Source organism: Homo sapiens, chromosome 4, assembly GCF_000001405.40.
Source record: "Homo sapiens chromosome 4, GRCh38.p14 Primary Assembly".
NCBI classification, from domain to species: Eukaryota; Metazoa; Chordata; class Mammalia; order Primates; family Hominidae; genus Homo; species Homo sapiens.
Genome location: NC_000004.12, coordinates 174,285,532 through 174,306,121, shown reverse-complemented (window position 1 = coordinate 174,306,121; position 20,590 = coordinate 174,285,532). Strand labels below are relative to the sequence as shown.

Below are 20,590 nucleotides of genomic sequence, written 5' to 3'. Positions count from 1 at the left end.
CAAATAGGCATACTATATAAGGCACTGGGATAGGAGACAATTTGCTTTAATATTGACTCAACTTTTGCTTGTAAACAAAGAAATGTACTTGTAGACTCTTTTCTAAATCTGAGAACTTTTAATACTTATTCAAATTTCTGATAAAGATCTGGTATAAATTTTAATAGATAACAAAGAAAACTTTGCTTTAAGAAAATTAAAAATAAGTCTAATGTTTTGAAGTTTACATTTTTCTTGGCTAGGACAATTTACACTGTCCCCTCAACTCTCATACTGAAATAGAACATTGAAAAGCACATTATATCAATAAATAATTAATAAGTGCTCACAGTGTTCCTAATCCTGTGCTAAGCAAAATGAAGGTACAAAAAATCAGTATAAGAAAATCCCTGTTCATATATGTTCCTTCTAGTTGGGGAAGAATACAAGATATAAGTCATTTAACAGTTAGAAAATCATAAATAAAACTAACAAGAGTTAGATGAGTTAGAGATGCAAGTGTACAAAAACTACATGCACTTATTCAAAAATGGCGGCTTTGTATCATTCTTTATATTGTCTTCATTACCTAGAGCAAAACAGGTACATTAAAAAGAAGTGGCATAAGAACATTTTCTTATAATAAAATTTCACTTTTTTAAGGTATAAAGGAATAAACATATTTTTTTGAGATGGAGTCTCGCTCTGTCAGCCAGCCTGGACTGCAGTAGTACAATCTCGGCTCACTGGAACCTCTGCCTCCAGGGTTCAAGCGATTCTCCTGCCTCAGTCTCTCAAGTAGCTGGGGTTACAGGCACCAGCTACCACGCCTAGCTAATTTTTGTATTTTTAGTAGAAATGGGGTTTCGCCATGCTGGTCAGGCTGGTCTCAAACTCCTGACTTTAGGTGATCCACCTGCCTTGGCCTCCCAAAGTGCTGGGATTACAGGCATGAGCTACTGTGCTAGACCCAAGAATAAATTTTTAAAATAGATTCTGTTTACATAACTCATGTATTTTGGATTAGGGCAGAAATAATACTCTAGATTATACTTCAGTCAGAAAGTATTCACATCCTTTACTTAATTACACCATTGATAATTCATCTGATATTCTATCATTCAATCAGAGTCTTCTCCAGCTGGAAGACAGCTGAAAATATATTAATAAATAATATTTTAGCTTAAGTCTCCCTTAGTGATAGAAACACTGTAGCTCTAAGTGCATTAGATTCAATTTGCCACAGCTGCTCAAAGCAGATAATGGCAGAAAAATTATCTTTCAAGAAAGAGAAAATATTCAAAATATTAACTGAAAACCAGATTCTACGTGTAGGGACTACCAATTATTGGATAATTCATACTTGGTTACAGAAATATAATGTACATAAATGAATCATTATAACCTATCACTACTGCTAATGTAGGCTCTTCATATGTTCCCATGTTTTAGGAAGACCAGAACACAATTAAGAGCAAATGTAGATAACTGCATAAGATAATCTTCCTAAATCACTACTCTTCTGTTTAGGAAATCCGGCAGAATTAGAAATTAGAAATATAAAGAGAACACGTATTTAATTTTATATTTCTATCCTATTGTTATAACTTCAGGCATACTGCCCAAAAATATATGGCATGCACTGTTAAAAATCAATGAACTCCAATATCTAACTAGAATGTTCATCAGGTGCCAATCAGAAAAGTGAAAACTGTATATTGGATTAATTAGATAACTCTTAAACAATATGATATTTTCTTTGTGGTTGCATACCTTTCCTGAGGTCATAAACCTGCCACTGATATCAACGCCAACAGCCTCTGCAGATATTTTCTCATTGCCCAAAGGAGGTTCTGACTTACCAGAACTGATTTTCTTTCTTTGTTGTGATGGAATCTAAAAAAAAAGGTATTAGTCAAAATAACAAATTTTGTGTGAAAGCATAATTATATATTAAAATTCCATTAACATTTAAATTTTCATATATGAAATATAGCTGACAAATAATGAGACTCTAATGAGACTACATGACTTTTAAAAACTAAGAAGTAATGAAAATGTATTATGTTTGAACTATTAGTTTAACACTAGGAGTTCCCAGTCACAGGTGTATAAAACAAGAGAGTAGTATTTAAAATAAACAACAAGCTTTATAAGGTTACTCAAATCTTTGAATAATACAGTAATTACACTATGAAATAATTTGCTGTCTAGGGTTTTGATTTTATACATTAAAATACTGAGCCATCTATTAATAGCATACATCAGCATTAATATCTATTCATAAAATTACCTTCTGAAGACTGCTTAATTCCTTGTGCTTTTTCATCACACAATTCAAAATATCACAAACAATTTGGATTTTCCATTCTGCAAACCCACATTGGATAAACTGCTTTTTTGTCAAAATTGGTTTATAATTAAATTGATCACGAAGAAGCTGCAGAGGAAACAGACTCTTGTAATAATTGGGAGCAATTTATTTCTAAAATTCCAAATGATAATGCCCACCTGGTCAGGGGAATAATGGCCACCTTTGAGAGGACAAGGAAAACCAAGCCATTAACTAAAGAGTACTAAAGTAATTCATAGGGCTGGTGTTAAGTCATGATCCAGTAAGACAGGTATCAGGTGGAAAACAGGTAGCAAAGGATATGCTGGAGAACAGATGTCTGTCCAGAGAGATGGAAAAATATAGTCAATCATCAAAAAGTGTAAATATCTTCAGAGATATTAGAAAAACTTCTTAGTTCACTAGAATACCATACCAGAGTCAGAAACTATAGTTCTATTTGTTTATAACTCTTCCACTATGTGATTTTTGGATACGTCAGTAGGCCTTTTGGTCTCAATTTTTCATTTGTAAAATGAAAAAAAACACACTAGATCAGTAGTTTCCTAAATCTACTCTGTGGAGCTCTAGAATTTCTTAAAAGTGCCTCTTAGGCTTCCATGGATGTCTTCTGGGATCAAAAGCAAGAAAGAGAAAGATTAAACAGAGACTACATATAAAAGCTCCCATTTCATTGACTGCAACTCTGCTTTTTTTAAAAGACTATTTGAGGCTGGGTGCGGTGGCTCATGCCTGTAATGCCAGCACTTTGGGAGGCCAAGGTGGGCAGAGCACAAGGTCAGGAGATCGAGACCATCCTGGCCAACATGGTGAAACCCTCTCTACTAAAATACAAAAAATTAGCCAGGCGTGGTCACGGTGCACGCCTGTAGTCCCAGCTACTCAGGAGGTTGAGGCAGGGGAACTGCTTGAACCCAGGAGGCGGAGACTGCAGTGAGCCTAGATCGTGACACTGCACTCCAGCCTGGTGACAGAGCAAGACTCTGTCTCAAAAAAAAAAAAAAAATAGACTACATTTGATAAGTGGGTTTTTACCATTAAAAACTAACTTTAATACAAACCACAGTACTTAAGCAAAAATTAATGATAAAAGCAGGGTTTTAAAAAAATCAAATAAGAGATTAAATTCAGTATACACATAGTACAAGTATAAATACTAGGGTAGATACAATATAAGACATGCTCTCAGACCTCAAAGAATATATCAGTTTAATAAAAAAAAAATGTCAGTAATAGTTCCTTCTTACAAACAACTAAATTAACATATAATTCTAAAAAACTGTAAGTTTTATTGAATATAATTACATTACTCTCTAATTTCTGCCAGTATATCAAATTTTACTAAAATTTGATTAAAAAGGGCAAACAATAGCCAACAACAAATATTTACCAGTTGCTGTATTTATTAGAATAGGTAACATTCAAAAAGCAAACATGAATTGCATCTTGATTTCAATAGAGACTACATTTAAATGAGATAAATACAAATGAAAATATCCTGTCAATTGTATATGCTGCATATATTTAAGAAGTTATGACTAAATCATTAATTTTTAAAAATCATTCAATAACTAATAGTTATTGTTTGATAAACTCAAAATACCTTATAGACAGCATCTATAAAGCGCAAGTCATTTTTTGCTATGAGCTCTACATTGGATTCCATTATAAGTTCTGTTACATAAGGTGAGTATGAGGTAAAAGAATAGCTGATGATGGGCAAAGATGCTGCTGGGTCTCCCTTTATCAAACTGTTAGGAAAAAAAGAAAAATATTTTTAATAAGCATTTAATAAGCATAATTCCACAAAGTTGGATAATCAAGAAAATATTAGAAATGTTTATAATAATTTAAAACTTAACACTATAGCTATAATAATTAGGTGATACATGAGACTTTCTAGATTCCATTCCCCATTTGAAACCAGTCTAGCCAGACTACTATGAAATACCACTGTTCGTCTGCTCAAAAAACTTACTATAGGTCTCTAGTACCAACTATTTACCATTGATTTTCCAAAGCTTAGTCTTACGTGATCTACTCCATTTTCTACTACTAATAAAAGCAATGTACCATCTTACAAAATTGAAGTACACTTTATGGTTTTGCAAACACTTGTTCTATTACCTCCTTTGCTCTCTACCACAAACTTCCAAAGGTAAATATTATGAATTCTAAGTTACAGATGAGGAAGATGGGATGGGAAAAAGCATGAACTGTGACTTGGTTGACCAGTCTATTACTTTTCACTTACTGCTCCTTCTAAATCGTATATTATTACCTATGTTAATTCCACCAGTCTAGAAAGGTATCCCACTCTTCTTTGCTTATCCAATTATTATTTATTTTTTACAAATCATTCATCAAATCTCAAGCTTCCCATGAAGCTTTCCTCAACTTTCTGATCTATACTGATCTCTCCAAGAAAGACTCCCAGGCTACTCAGTATCTGCTGTGTCTTTATCTGTCTGGTAGTGTTTCCTGTCTTATTTTCTCAATGTGAAGTACCTTCACTGATTTTCCCACAACAAAGCACAGGAGGTATTTGTTCAATTTGCCAGTTACATTTGTTCAATTGCAGTATTTTGTACTTATATAAAGCAAATGTTTTCCAAAAAATTCAAGATGTTCACATAAACATCCCCATCTCCACCCAAATTTTTAGTAAGACAGAGAACAAATACATGATGATAGCACTGCATTTTGTTTTACTGGACAAATATGAATTATTTCTTTTATGTTTCTTTGAAATACTGTAATATTTCACCCAATCAGAAAACTCCTCTGGCAACCTTGTCTATCTGAAACACAGTCCAAAAACAGGAAATGAAAAAAAAAATACCTTTGAACAGCAAAATCTGTCCATTTTATGCACACTATACATAGATGATAGCCAGGCACACATTTAACACTTTTTATGTTAAACAATTTCAAAAATCTTGATTATCTAGTTCCTAAGGACTTAGCATATTAGAAACAGTAAGAAAAACAGATGCCAACACAAAAAACAGCAAATGGCCAGAAAACATAACAAATGTGAAAAAGTAGAAAAAAGAATCAAAATGATGGGGGTGTTGTGTGTGTGCTTAAATGTGTGTGGCAGGGAGACTAGCAATCTGAGTGCCTCTGTGGAAGAAGCAAGTAGCATTTCAAATCTCAATAGACCCTGCAGATTTTAGTATGTTATATAATAATCTAAAAATTGTTGTTCTTAATGATGCTTTTGGGTAATAAGAAAATTAAATGTTTAAACACTGTATTTAGAAAACAAGATAATACTGGTATATTTTAGAATTATTCCTATTTAAAATGTCTTTTAAAATGTTGACACTTAAAGTGGCAAGGAGAAGACTTGGCTACTCAAACTGGTTAAACCCCTGCAAGTTCTGGATGGTCAGGATTTTCATGTTTTGAGGAATCAAGATGATTTTTACATACATGGATTACATCTGTTTCATATCTTCTGCCTCTCACATATAATGCCTATAATAACAGCAACTTGAGCTAAACTTTCTCCTTACTCTCCTCTCTATCCTTTCACTTTCAGCCTTCTCTTGAGTTACCTCTCCCTACTGTAACCTCAAGAGTTATTAGAATATCCATTCTTATATGGATATCCATTCTTATATGTAAAGCCCATTACTGAAGGATTCTACTTACAAGTTTCCCTCTACTCTTGAACATCTAACTTGGACTTGTCCCTGGACACTCATTCATTCAATAAATGTCTAATCAACTCCTAATATGTGCCATGCATAATTCTAGATGGGGGGATTCCACAGTGAAAACAAAAAACAAAGTCCAAGACTTCAGCTTACATTCTAGTAACCAATGAACATTTAACCAATCCATCAATTAATCAATGATAAAAGGTTAAGGGTAAGTGTCATGAAGAAACAGAATTATGAAGGGATACAGAATGACTGCAGTACCATATTATATAGGCATGAATATAGGAAAATGTATGTTGCCATATTCTAAAAACGTTGTCATAGTTGCAAAATGGGAGCTAAAGTGAAAGGTTCAAAGTGGGGTCTGTTAAATGGGAGAGCTTAAGCGCAATCTTCAGGTTGCCATACACAAAAAAATCTACTAACTAGAATATTCCATATGAAAAAGAACACTCGACTTAAATGTATAAAATCTTTCCTCTATAAAAGAATAAACAAATAAATGATAAGAAAAGACTGACAAGAAATGGCAACAATCTCTTCTTATTCTGGATATATTTAACTGTAAGAAATATCATCCAACTGAATATGAGAGAATGGTAGATTATACAAATAATAAAATCTATTATACCTCTATGAGTTTAAAAGCTGTACAGAGATTATAACTTATACAGATAAATACTGTGCTTCTAAACAGTTTTAAATCTTTTAAGTTGGAATTCTTCATTAGTTCATACTTAGAAATAAACTCCTATAATTCCCTGCTTTCTCAAATATTTTAATCATTTCAAGGCAGATTTAAATAGGAACCAGGTAAAATCTGATTTTTCTCAGGTAGTCCCCCATGTTAAATATCATCTCAAATCACTAGCAAGAAGAATACAATTAAGTTTGATATTATAGCTTACCCTACACAGTCCACCTCTTCAGGATAATTTAGCAAGCGGAGCACCTGTTCTAGGTTCCGTAAGCTTCTTTTTAAGTCACCTGTTGCCATTACTTAACATCAGATTCAGCTCCAATTCTTGAAATCGTCTAATTTTTCACCTGAAAATAGAAATCCATGAAATACTGGTTAAGTCTCTGTATTTTTGAAGCTTCTTGATTCTATTTTGGTCATATCTCCTATTGGCACTTACCATATTTATCTTACCCTAGCTCTTTTTCCCCGAGCTTCTTCTCTACTACTCAAGTTCTACTTTGTAACTACTATAAGTTTCTGAATATAGGGTGTCTCCCCTACCCTCCTACATGTTTTCCTCCCAAAAAAATAAGTTTGCCTTATATTCATCTTATTATAATGTATCTTATATAACACTTGCCCAAATAGTTTTTTTTTAAGCATAAAGCACCGTTTGAGAAGACACATCAACTTGGAATAACATCCATCAGTGACTCTTTTGGATGCTTATAGAAGCTACATAACACAATCAATAAAAAATGGAGACAAATTTAGCGCAGATTTAATCAGAGTCACAGGGCTCTGATCTCACATAGTTGCCAAAAAGATACCTTTCCTAAAAACTAAAAATACATTTTAAAAATGCAGGGTTCACTTGGATAAATATGACAGATTAAATGCATGTTACCTTCCTTTCCATTTTCTAAAGATCACTAAAATGAAAGTAAATAATTAAAAATCATGGCTGGGCGCGGTGGCTCACGCCTGTAATCCCAGCACTTTGGGAGGCCGAGGCGGGCGGATCAGGAGGTCAGGAGATCGAGACCATCCCGGCTAAAACGGTGAAACCCCGTCTCTACTAAAAATACAAAAAATTAGCCGGGCGTAGTGGCAGGCGCCTGTAGTCCCAGCTACTTGGGAGGCTGAGGCAGGAGAATGGCGTGAACCCGGGAGGCGGAGCTTGCAGTGAGCCGAGATCCCGCCACTGCACTCCAGCCTGGGCGACAGAGCGAGACTCCGTCTCAAAAAAAAAAAAAAAAAAAAAAATCATATATACCCACCAGGACAAAAAGAACTACAGGAGATTTCACATAACAAAACAAGTATCAACAAAATTTTGGAAAATGAAAAGCAAATGAATAAGGGATAACCAACCTAGCAGAGCACAGACCAGCCAATCCCATCTGCCTAATATTTAGGAGGAAACCAACTGAAGCAAGATAGGTTCACAAATCAGGTACACTTGATGCTTCTGAAAGACAAAGGGGTAAGTCCAGGGGGCTGAAATAAGAATGATTATTTGAGAGTCTACATAAGAAGCAGCTAACCCTAGAATTTATTTTCCCTCCCGCCTCCTATCCCTACACACATAACTTGCTCAGCAAGGCAACTACCTCTCACCTTCCCTGGAAAGAGAAAAGAGCTTTACACTCCAAAGAAATTGAATCAAGGAGGCACTAAATTTGGTAACATCAGGCAAGGCGAACAATACAGAAGGAAGTGTTCGAAGGCAGAAAGAAGTATTAATGAAAACACACACACACACACACACACACACACACACACTAATAAAGTTTCTTCCTATATCTCAGCCTCAAGAAGCTGTTAGACTTACATCCTCTGTGACAGCAGACTATCAGGTTCTATGCTAGAGAAGGTGGATGGACCTAGAGAAAAAAGTATCACATTTCTGACATTTGAGGAAAATCCCCATTGAAAAGGGCAGGTCTTGCCCAATAAACCTGCAGCAAACTCACTTATTGATAAGCCCTAACCAGGCACCTTTTTTTCTTAGAGACTCATGTTTAAAACTGAATATATGCCCAAAGGTCAATAACTATTAGAGGGAAGCTTCAGTATGAAAAGTATATATAAATACCTTAAACAAAATAAGCAGAGAAGAAAAATTTGGTGGAAATAGAGATAATATAGAGAAAAAATTTCAAAATGAAGCTTTCAATTCTCAATGAGATTAGAAAAAAAAATTAAAACCTAAAACAAGAATAGAAGGATATAAAAAATATTAAGCTTGTGAGAATGTAAAATGAGCCAGAGATTGTTAAAGTGGATCAAAAATAAGATCTAACTACATGTTGTCTATAAGAAATCCATTTTGTTTATAAGATTAAAAGTAAATGGATAGGGAAAAATATACCATGCTAACATTAATCAAAAGAAAGCAGGAACAGTTATAATAATCTCAGACAGCAGACTTTATAATAAGGAAAGTTATTAGGGACATAGGGTCATTACATAAAGATAAAGGACTTAATTCTCCCAGAAAATATAACAATCTTTAATGTATATGCACCTGACAACACAATGTCAAGATATATGAAACAAAAACTGACAGAACCACAACGAGAAATATACAAATCCCCTATTTTAGTTGGAGACTTCAACACTCCTCTATGAGAAATAGATCCAGCAGGCAAAAAAAAAAAAAAAAAAAAATCAGTAAGGACAAACAATATCATCTATCAACTGGATATAACAAATATTTATAGACTACTTCATCAAACAACAATAGAATACATATTCTTCTCAATTTCACATGGAACATCCACCAAGATAGACTATCTTTGGCGTCATAAGGCATACCTTAACACATTTTTAAAAAGTATAAATCATACAATGTCTGCTTTTAGACCACAATGGATTTAAATAGAAATCAACAACAGAATTGAAAATGATGGCAAAAATAAAAATTTAAATAAGACAAGTTTGAGGAGATAATTATAGTTACACAATGGATGAAAAGACACAAAAGTGGAATAGAAATTATAAGAAAATTAGAGGACCAAACTGAAAGGTTCAACATCTCATGAACGAGAGAAAATGAGGGAGGAAATTGTGACATAATACAAAAACACCTCTTAAGGCTGAATGTCATGATTCTCTAGATTGAAAGAACACAATGAGTGATAAACACAAGAAGTGAAACAAAACTCACACCAAGATATATCACTGTGACATTTCATAAAGTAAAAGAGAAGTTTTGATAAACATCCAACAAGGCAAGAAAAGATCACATAGGAAGAATATCAAAATAGCACCAAACTTTCAATAGCAATGTTAGAAGCTAAAGGATAAAGAAACATTATCTTCAAAATCCTGAGAGGAATTACTTATAATCTTGAATTCTATACTAAAGCAAGGTATCAAATACCACACCCAGCAGATTTACTCTAGGTATGCAGGGGCTTAGTACAACATTCTAAAAATCAATGTAAGCCACATTAGCAGGTCAAAGAAGGCAAATCATGTATTATCAACGGACGTAGAAAAAGCACTTGAAAGAAATCTAACACCCATCCATAATAAATACTCTCAGCAAACTAGGAATAGAGGGAAAGTCCCTCAACTTAATTGGAAAAATACCTAGAATTCTGAAACAAACAATACAATTAAAAAATAGGCAAAAGATGTTAACAGATATCTCACTAAAGAGGATATATGGAGCCTCGGCCTCCCGAGGTGCCGGGATTGCAGACGGAGTCTGGTTCACTCAGTGCTCAATGGTGCCCAGGCTGGAGTGCAGTGGCGTGATCTCGGCTCGCTACAACCTCCACCTCCCAGCCGCCTGCCTTGGCCTCCCAAAGTGCCAAGATTGCAGCCTCTGCCCGGCCGCCACCCCGTCTGGGAAGTGAGGAGCGTCTCTGCCTGGCCGCCCATCGTCTGGGACGTGAGGAGCCCCTCTGCCTGGCTACCCAGTCTGGAAAGTGAGGAGCGTCTCTGCCCGGCCGCCATCCCATCTAGGAAGTGAGGAGCGCCTCTTCCTGGCCACCATCCCATCTAGGAAGTAAGGAGCGTCTCTGCCCGGCCGCCCATCGTCTAAGATGTGGGGAGCGCCTCTGCCCCTGCCGCCCCGTCTGGGATGTGAGGAGCACCTCTACCCGGCCGCGACCCCGTCTGGGAGGTGAGGAGCGTCTCTGCCCAGCCGCTCCGTCTGAGAAGTGAGGAGACCCTCCGCCTGGCAACCGCCCCATATGAGAAGTGAGGAGCCCCTCCGCCCGGCAGCCACCCCGTCTGGGAAGTGAGGAGCGTCTCTGCCCGGCAGCCACCCCATCCGGGAGGGAGGTGAGGGTCAGCCCCCGCCAGGCCAGCCGCCCCGTCCGGGAGGGAGGTGGGGGGATCAGCCCCCCGCCCGGCCAGCCGCCCCGTCCGGGAGGGAGGTGGGGGGGTCAGCCCCCCGCCTGGCCAGCCGTCCCATCCGGGAGGGAGGTGGGGGGGTCAGCCCCCCACCCGGCCAGCCGTCCCGTCCAGGAGGTGAGGGGCGCCTCTGCCTGGCCGCCCCTACCGGGAAGTGAGGAGCCCATCTGCCCGGCCAGCCGCCCCGTCCGGGAGGGAGGTGGGGGGATCAGCCCCCCGCCCGGCCAGCCGTCCCGTCCGGGAGGGAGGTGGGGGGGTCAGCCCCCCACCCGGCCAGCCGCACCGTCCGGGAGGGAGGTGGGGGGGTCAGCCCCCCGCCCAGCAGGGAGGTGGGGGGTGGTCAGCCCCCCGCCCGGCCAGCCACCCCTTCCGGGAGGGAGGTAGGGGGGTCAGCCCCCCGCCCGGCCAGCCGCCCCGTCTGGGAGGTGAGGGGCGCCTCTGCCCGGCCGCCCCTACTGGGAAGTGAGGAGCCCCTCTGCCCAGCCACCACCCCGTCTGGGAGGTGTACCCAACAGCTCATTGAGAACGGGCCATGATGACAATGGCGGTTTTGTGGAATAGAAAGGGGGGAAAGGCGGGGAAAGGATTGAGAAATCGGATGGTTGCCATGTCTGTGTAGAAAGAGGTAGACACGGGAGACTTTTCATTTTGTTCTGTACTAAGAAAAATTCTTCTGCCTTGGGATCCTGTTGATCGGTGACCCTACCCCCAACCCTGTGCTCTCTGAAACATGTGCTGTGTCCACTCAGGGTTAAATGGATTAATGGTGGTGCAAGATGTGCTTTGTTAAACAGATGCTTGAAGGCAGCATGCTCGTTAAGAGTCATCACCACTCCCTAATCTCAAGTACCCAGGGACACAAACACTGCGGAAGGCCGCAGGGTCCTCTGCATAGGAAAACCAGAGACCTTTGTTCACTTGTTTATCTGCTGACCCTCCCTCCACTATTGTCCTATGACCCTGCCAAATCCCCCTCTGTGAGAAACACCCAAGAATGATCAATAAAAAAAAAAAAAAAAGAGGATATATGGATTGTAAATAATATGAAGAGGCTCAAAATCATTTATCATTAGAGATTTGCAAATTAAACCAAAATACCACTACACACTTATTAGAATGGCCATAAAGCCTACAAAAAAAACCAACAGCTAACACCACACTTAAGGCTGAGAAACTGTATACTTCCCCCAAAGACTGGGAATAACACGAGGATGTCCTATCTCACCACTCCTATTCAACAGTGTTCCAGAAGTCCTAGCTAGTGAAATGAAGCAAGCAAAGGAAATAAAATACCTTAGGAAGAAAGGAATAAAGTGGTCTTCATTTGCAAAAGACATGATTGTTTATTTAGGAAATGCTAAAGAATTAACAAAAAAAACCCCCTAAAAGTAAAAAGTGAGTATAGCAAAGTCACAGTATATAAGGTTAATATACAAAAGTCAAATGTTTTCCTATATACTGGCAATAAATGATTAGAATGAAATATAAAACTAAAAACACCATTATCATAGCACAAAAAACACTTATAAGTCTAACAAAATATGTAAATGATCTGTATGTGACAAATTACAAAACTATGAAAGAAATCAAAGAAGGTTTTAGCTAGAAAAGGATAGTGGAACAGGACCTCCCCAGCCCTTGTCCTTCACAGAAACACCAATTTAGCAACCATCTATGTATAAAAGTGCCCTGATGGGTCCAAGTAGAAGGCTGTGACATCCTTCTGGAGTCCAAGACTGATAGAAGCCATTTTGAGAAGGCAGAATCATGCCCCAGTAGCAGGCATGTGACTACAGAACTGGCTCCAGACCCAGCAGCAGCCTCATCAGCATGTGGGCTTCAACTCACCTGTCCAAGGTCTCACAGGAAGACTTGTTTGTCTGGGAACCCAGAAGGAACCACACCCACCCAAGCCCCAGTAACAGGCCCACAACCGCAGACCTGATTTTGAACATGTAAGCAGACCCACAACCTGGCTCCACCTAAGTGACTGTGGTTTGGAAGTCAGTCTCACCAAGGGACCCAGCAAGAGAAGATCTTCATCTACTGAAATCACTCTGTTTAGTACAGAAGTGGGAACTGCTCCTTCAAATGTACAGACACCAATGAAAGACTCAAGGGATTATTAGTAAATACAACATGCCAAAGGAAACCAATAAGGTTACAGAAACTGACTATAACAAGATGAAGATCCATGATCTGCTTGACAAAGAATTCAAAATAATCATCTTAAGCTCAATGAGCTACAAAAACAAACAAACAAATAAACAAACCCAGATAGAAAATGAAATAAAAATCAGGAAAACAATACATGAACAAAAAGTTCAATAAAGGAGAAGCATAAAAAAGAACCAAACAGAAATCCTAGAGCTGAAGGATACAATGACTGAACTAAAAAATTCAATAGAAGGCTTCAACAACAGACTCAATCAACCAAAAGAAAGAATCAGCAAACCTGAACACCGGTCATATGAAATTATACAATTAGAGGAAGAAATATTAAAAAGAATAAAAAGTGAAATGAAGTAATACTACGGGACTTATGGTACACCACTAAGTAACTTAATAAACACATTATAAAAGTTCCAGAAGGCAAAAAGACAGAGAGAAAGGGGGCAGAAAGCACATTTAGATTATGGCTGAAAACTTACCAAATCTAGGGAGGAAAATGGACATCCAGACTCACGAAGCCCAAAAGTTCCCAAATAGGTTGAAGCCAAAGAGGTCTGTACCAATAGACACTATAATGAATTTGTCAAAATTCAAAGACAGAGAAAAAATTTTGACAGCAGTGACAGAAAAGTAACTTATTTCATATAACAGAGCCTCCATAAAGGTATTGGTGAATTTCTCAGCAGAACACTTGCAGGCCAGGAGAGAGGGAATGACATATTCAACATACTGAAAGTAAAAAAAGAAACCTGCCAACTGAAAATAATTACCTGAAAAAACTGTCTTCAGGAATGAAGGAAATAGCCAGGCATGGTGGCTCACACCTGTAATCCCAGCACTTGAGGAGGCTGAGGGCAGGCAGATTGCTTGAGCTCAGGAGTTCAAGACCACCCTGGCAAACATGGTGAAATCTTGTCTCTACAAAAAATACAAAAATTAGCCAGTCATGGTGGTGCATGCCTCTAGTCCCAGCTACCTGGGAGGCTGTGGTGGGAGGCTGACTTGAGCCCAGGAGGTTGAGGTTGCAATGAGCTGAGATCATGTCACTGCACTCCAGCCTGGGCAACAGAGCCAGACCTGGAAAAAAAAAAAAAAAAAAAAAAAAAGAAAAGAAAAAGATAAAAGAATAAAGAAAACATGAAAACTTCCTCAGATTAAAAAACTCAGGGAGTTTGTCACTTTTAGACATGCCCTAACAAGAAATGCTAACAGGAGATCTTCAAGTTAACTGAAAAGATACTAAACCAACAGTATGAAAGCATATGAAAGTATACATCTCACTGCTAAAAGCAAACATGAAAACAAACATGGAATATTGCAATACTGAAATCTGTGGCACGTAAATCTCATTGAACACTAGTATATAAATTAAAAGACAAAAATAGTATGAGTAACTACAACAACCACAGAAATTTGTTAATAGAAACAATATAGAAAGAAGTAAAATCTGAAATCAATTACATACATTGGTGAGGAAGAGGGGGGAGAAGTGTAGAGATTCTGAATATGAATGAAGTTGTTACTAGCTTTAAAAAGCCTGCTATGACTACATAATATTTGATGCAAACCCCATAGTAACCAAAATAAAAAGTATAGTAAATAAACAAAAAAAAGAAAAAAATCAAAGCATTCTACTACAATCATCAAATCACAAAGACAACAAACAAGAGAAAAACAGGAGAAACAGAAAGCAAATAGAAAACAATGAATAAAATGGAAACAATTAAGTACTTAATTATTAAAAATTATTACTTTAAATTTTTAATAATTAAGGGCTCTCAGTAGACATGGAATGGCTGAAATGGATAATAAAAACAACACTCAACTATACGCTATCTACAAGAGACTCTAACATTTAAGGACACACGTAGGCTAAAAGTGAAGGGATTGAGAAAGATATTCCATGCAAACTATAACCAAAAGAGAGCAGGGTGGCTATCTATATCAGACAAAATAGACTTTAAGTCGACAACTGTCAAAAGAGACAAAGAAGGCATTATATAATAGTAAAAGGGTCAATTCAATAGAAAGATACAACAACTAAAAATACATATGCACCCAACATCAAAGCACCTTAAAATATACAGTGAACATTGACAGATTTGAAGGAAGAAATAGATATCGATACAATATAGAAGGAGACTTTGATACATCACTCTCTATAATGTACAGGTCATCCAGACAGAATGCCAACAGCAAATATTGATAGAATTGGAGGAAGAAATAGATATCAATACAATACAGAAGGAGACTTTGATACGTCACTGTCTATAATGTACTGGTCATCCGGACAGAATACCAACAAGTAAATTGCAAACTATACAACACTATAGACCAAAGACCTAACATGCATATACAGAACATGAGACCCAACCATAGCAAAATAATCATTCTTCTCAAAAGGACATGAAACATTCTCTATAACTGATCACAGCCTAGGTCACAAAACAAGTCTTAACAAATTTAAGAAGACTAAAAACATTCTAAACATTTTGTCTGATCACGAGGGAATGAAACTAGAAATCAATAATAGAAAGAAAATGGAAAAATTCACAAATACAGGGGAATTAAATAACATACTATTAAATAATACTGGGTCAAAGAATAAATCAAAACAGAAATTATAAAATATCTCAAGACAAACAATAATAAAAACACAGTATACCCAAACATATAGGATGCAGTAAAAGCAGAATAAGAGAAGTGTTTATAGCAATAAATTCATTAAGAAGAAGAAAGAGGCAGGACACAGTGGCTCACGCCTATAATCCTAGCACTTTTGGGGGCTGAGGCAGGCGGGTCACTAGGTCAAGAGATTGAGACCATCCTGGCTAACATGGTGAAACCCCATCTCTACAAAAAATACAAAAATTAGCTGAGCATGGTGGTGCGTGGCTCTAGTCCCACCTACTTGGGACTCCCACCTACTCGGGAGGCTGAGGCAGGAGAATCACTTGAACCCGGGAGGCGGAGGTTGCAGTAAGCCAAGATCATCACGCCACTGCACTCCAGCCTGGTGACAGAGCAAGACTCTGTCTCAAAGAAAAAAAAAAAAAGGTCTCAATAAAACAACCTAACTTTACACCTCAAGGAACTAGAAAAAGAACAAACTAAATCCAAAATTAGCAGAAGGAAGAAAATAATAAAGATTAGATTAGAAATAAATGAAATAGAAAATTGAAAAACAATTTTAAAAATTGACAAAACTAAAAGTTCCTCTTTTGAAAAGACAAACTAAATCAACAAATCCTTGGCTAGACTTTAAAAATAGAAGACTCAAACAAAATCAGAAATGAAAGAGGACACAATTGATCCCACAGATATAAAAAGTATCATAAGGGACTATTATGAACAATTATATGCCATCAAATTGGACAATCTAAAAAAAAATGGGTAAATTCCTAGAAAAATATAACTTACCAAGACTGAATCAAGAAGAAATAGAATGCTTGAATAGACAAATAACAAAAAAGGAGATTGATGGAATAATCAAAAAATTCCCAACAAAGAAAAGCCAAGAGCCAGATACATTCTAGCAAACATTTAAAGAAAAATTAATACAAAACCTTATTAAACATATCTAAAAAAAAAAAAAAAAGAAGAGGGAACACTTCCAAAGTCATTCTGAGGCCTGCATCACCCTGATACCAAAGCCAGACAAATACACTACAAGAAAACTACAGTCTAATACATTTGATGAATATAGACGTAAAAATCCTCAATGAAATGTTAGCAAACCAAACACAACAGCACATTAAAAGAATCATATACCATGACCAAGTAGGATTTTTCATTGTGATGCAAGGATGGTTCAACATATGACAACCAACCAATGTAATATACTGCATTAATAGAATGAAGGATAAAACTCACATGGGCATCTGCACAGATGCAGAAAAAGCACTTGACAAAATTCGATACTCTTTTGTGATAAAAACTCCCAATAAACTAGGTATGGAAGAACCTTATAGCAAATTAGGTAAAGGAAAAACAAAATAAAGTCCATTTATGAGAAGCCCACAGCTAAGATACTTAAAGATAAAAAACTGAAAGCTTTCCCCATAAGATGAGGAACAAGGCAAGGTTGCCTACTTTAGCCTCTCCTATTCAGCGTAGTATTTTAAGTCCTAGCCAGAATAACTAGGTAAGAAAAATAAATTAAAAACATCCAAATAAAAAGAGAAGAGGTACAATATCTGTTTGCAGATGACATGATCTTAGATGTAGAAAACCTTAGGGACCCCAACAAAAATGTGAGAATAAACAAATTTGCCTTTAAAAAAGAAGGAAATCCTGCCATTTGCAACAACATGGATGAACCTGAAGGACATTATGCTAAGTGAAATAAGCTAAACACAAAAAGACAAATACTGTATTATCTCAATGTATGTGAAATCTAAAATAGTCAAATACATGCAAGCAGAGAATAGAATGGTGGTTGTAAGGGAACATGGGGAGAACAAAATGGGAAGCTGTTGTTCAAAGGGTACAAAGTTTCAGTTAGGCAAAATAAATAAGATCTGCAGGTACAACCCAGTGTCTGTGATTAGCAATATTGTATTCTTAAAATTTTGCTAAGAAGTTAGATCTAATGTTAAGTGCTCTTATCACAAAACGTGAAAAAAAGATGAGTAGAAGGAAACTTTTCAAGGTGATGGCATTGATTTCTTGTAGTAATAATGGTTGGATGGTTTCACAATATCTACTTATCTCCAAACAGAAACTGTATACATTAAATGTCTATAGCTTTCTGTATGTCAATCATACCGCAATAAACAGGTTAAAAAATGAAGCAGCACCAGATCCCTGTACACACACCTCTAAAAATAGTCCCTTTGTATATAAAGCACCCCAAATTTTCTCCTTCTGAGTGTGTTATCTACTTAATTAAGGGCCTGGACTACAAAATCCAAGTTTTCACTTTTCACCCAAAGTTTTCCATTCTCACACACAGAATTTTCTCGTTCAGTTAGCAGATGCAAGAAGAGAATTTCAGATATTAGCTTTAAATACTACATTCTTGTCTATACCTGGTATTACTAGCTCTACCTAATTCATTTTCTTTCTTACCATGAAATTATAGAAACAAAAAGGTTACTGCAAAACACTTATAAACATATTGTCAGCATGAAATAATTATAATTATCCTATAATAAATTGTACCTTTTGAACAATTTTGGTCACTTTTTGATCTTCGTGTATTAATAAGTTAATACATGTAAATCATAACCAGAAGGGAAAATCAAAACATTCCACTTACCAAGTAATGATGAAAAAGAGAATGTGTGTGATTTAGTTAATTTAAAATATTATAGAAAGCAACAAATAACAGAAATGGTATCTGGGATAAAGTTCCTGGACCTGGATAAGGATGTTTGGTGATATCTCAAGCTGTTCAACACCTTTGCACATGCCATTTCTTCAAGCTTGAAGAGATACAGAGCAACTCCTTCCCTCTCCCATTCTCCATCTGGCTAATACCCCTCGGCATCCTGCTTAAATGTCACCACCTCAAATAAGTCTTAGATCCCAAACTAATTAATCCCCCTCATTAATTTTCTCTAATAGACCCAGTTCTTTTCCTTCTTGGTACTTATCATAATAAAGAACCAAAATCTGTGCCAAGGGTCCAAAATAGCACTCTACCTGAAAAGCAACACTTAATCCTTGTCATTTCTCAGCTCTATTTCAGAATGAGCTGGGTTACTACCTGGGGTCCCATAACGACCTATATCCCAATGGCCTAGAAATAGAAGGAATACACCGATTCCCCCTCTTGATGCTGATTCTTCACTTTAATAAGCCACCACCATTGTCAGTCAAGATGTTTTGCACTGTCATCGGTCCCAAACTCCTGCTGGTTAGCCAGCTGTCTACTTCCAAGAAGAAAAGGTGAACACAGAAAAAAAGGCAAGAAATTCAAAATATCTATGCTTTTTACAGAAAGAGTAAATGGTACAATTATTTTGGAAAACTTACTGGTGATACCTACTAAAAGCTGACATACATGGGGCCTATGAAACAGGAATATGACTCTGAAGAATGTACACAACAGAAAAACACATACGTGAACCAAAAGATTTGAACGAACTGAGACTTTAAACAAAATGATTCATTTTTTAAAAACTGCCCCAAAAGTAATAGCATGGAATTTATTTCTAAATGACTAATTTTCTTGCATGGAGTGGGACTTTCATTAGATTATCAAAGGAGATTTTTCCCAAAGAAGAGTCATAAATAGGTATATAAACGATTAAGAACCTTTGCTGGAAGGAGGTAAGTTTCTGAACTATAAAAGTCTAGTCAGCCAGTAACGTGAAACTCAATAACTTACATAAAAACATCTACCACAACTGTCCATGGACACTTCATAGAAGAAAAGTAATACATAACAATACCTTGAGTAATGAACCCTTTGAGAATGAAGCTCCTTTAAAATGAAGTTATCACATTAAAATGAAGTCATTATATTAAAATGAAAACAGAACAATTCATAAATCAGGTGAAGCTGGGTTAGTGTGATCTTTTCCTCCAATTCGCATTACCCAGCTGTCCAGGATACAAATCATCCCTTTACACACCGTTTCTCTATCTTTAAATAAGGAAAGGTAAGAAGGTCACCGATTTACAAAATCCTAAATTTAGTAAGCTTCCTACTTTAAGCCCCTCGCCACTCATTTCCACAGCCATTTCCCCAGGGTAGAGCAACTGCTCCCTCTTTATGAACCTACCTTTCTGTTCCTAGTCTCCTTTATCAACATGGTAGGCAACAGCTTATTGAATATACTTTATAGACTTGTGCATGCACATTTTAGTCACTATTTTTCAGCCAATAAATTACTTCAACTAAACATTTACATTTCTAGACAGAGATAATTTTAGGTACTGTCAAATGGGAGATAACTAGAAAAAGAGAAAGTCATCCTGAAATCACATTATACAAAACACTGGCCAAGAAGGTAAACCCTATTTAATATCCTTTAGACTGACTGGGGGTAGATGGACACACGGAAGCCTAAAAGGGATTTCCCAAGATAAGCCTTTACTTTCCTGAAAAACATGAAGTGAGGACTACTCTGGCTTTAACCGCAAAAAATGTATTCTTGGATTTTGCCACTGGCCAATATAGTAGGTCTGAGCTTCTTTCGGGTTCCAGACCCATCTATCGTAACACAATTCTTCTAGGGATACCTTCTTCCCAGTAACTTTAATGTAAATTCTATGTCTTTCCAGACTTCCTTTAGTCCTTCCAGATGTATATTCCATTTTCCCAGTGCAAGTAATTCTGTTTTACGTAACACTTTATGATATCTTCTCACCTTTCCTTTTTCTGACATTTTGGAAAACATTTCAGTGTCTCTT

At 37.1% G+C, this 20,590-nt stretch overlaps 1 protein-coding gene across 21 annotated transcripts in view; it reads right to left on the bottom strand.

Annotated features, from left to right (window-relative positions):
* Positions 1 to 20,590, bottom strand: part of CEP44 (centrosomal protein 44) — a 49,676-nt gene that overhangs the window by 27,260 nt on the left and 1,826 nt on the right. For 12 of the 21 annotated variants that reach the window (XM_024454229.2, XM_047416201.1, XM_047416204.1 and 9 more), the window contains exons 2-6: positions 8,060 to 8,156; positions 6,912 to 7,050; positions 3,936 to 4,083; positions 2,273 to 2,419; positions 1,753 to 1,875 (exon numbers count right to left, since the gene is read on the bottom strand). In XM_024454229.2, the coding sequence (XP_024309997.1) occupies positions 1,753 to 1,875; positions 2,273 to 2,419; positions 3,936 to 4,083; positions 6,912 to 7,000 (507 nt within the window). In that variant the 5' untranslated portion in view covers positions 7,001 to 7,050; positions 8,060 to 8,156. Of the gene's footprint in view, positions 1 to 1,752; positions 1,876 to 2,272; positions 2,420 to 3,935; positions 4,084 to 6,911; positions 7,051 to 8,059; positions 8,157 to 8,519; positions 9,337 to 20,590 lie in introns of those variants that run through there. The other 9 variants (XM_024454231.2, XM_011532287.3, XM_024454233.2 and 6 more) reach the window with 4 other exon arrangements.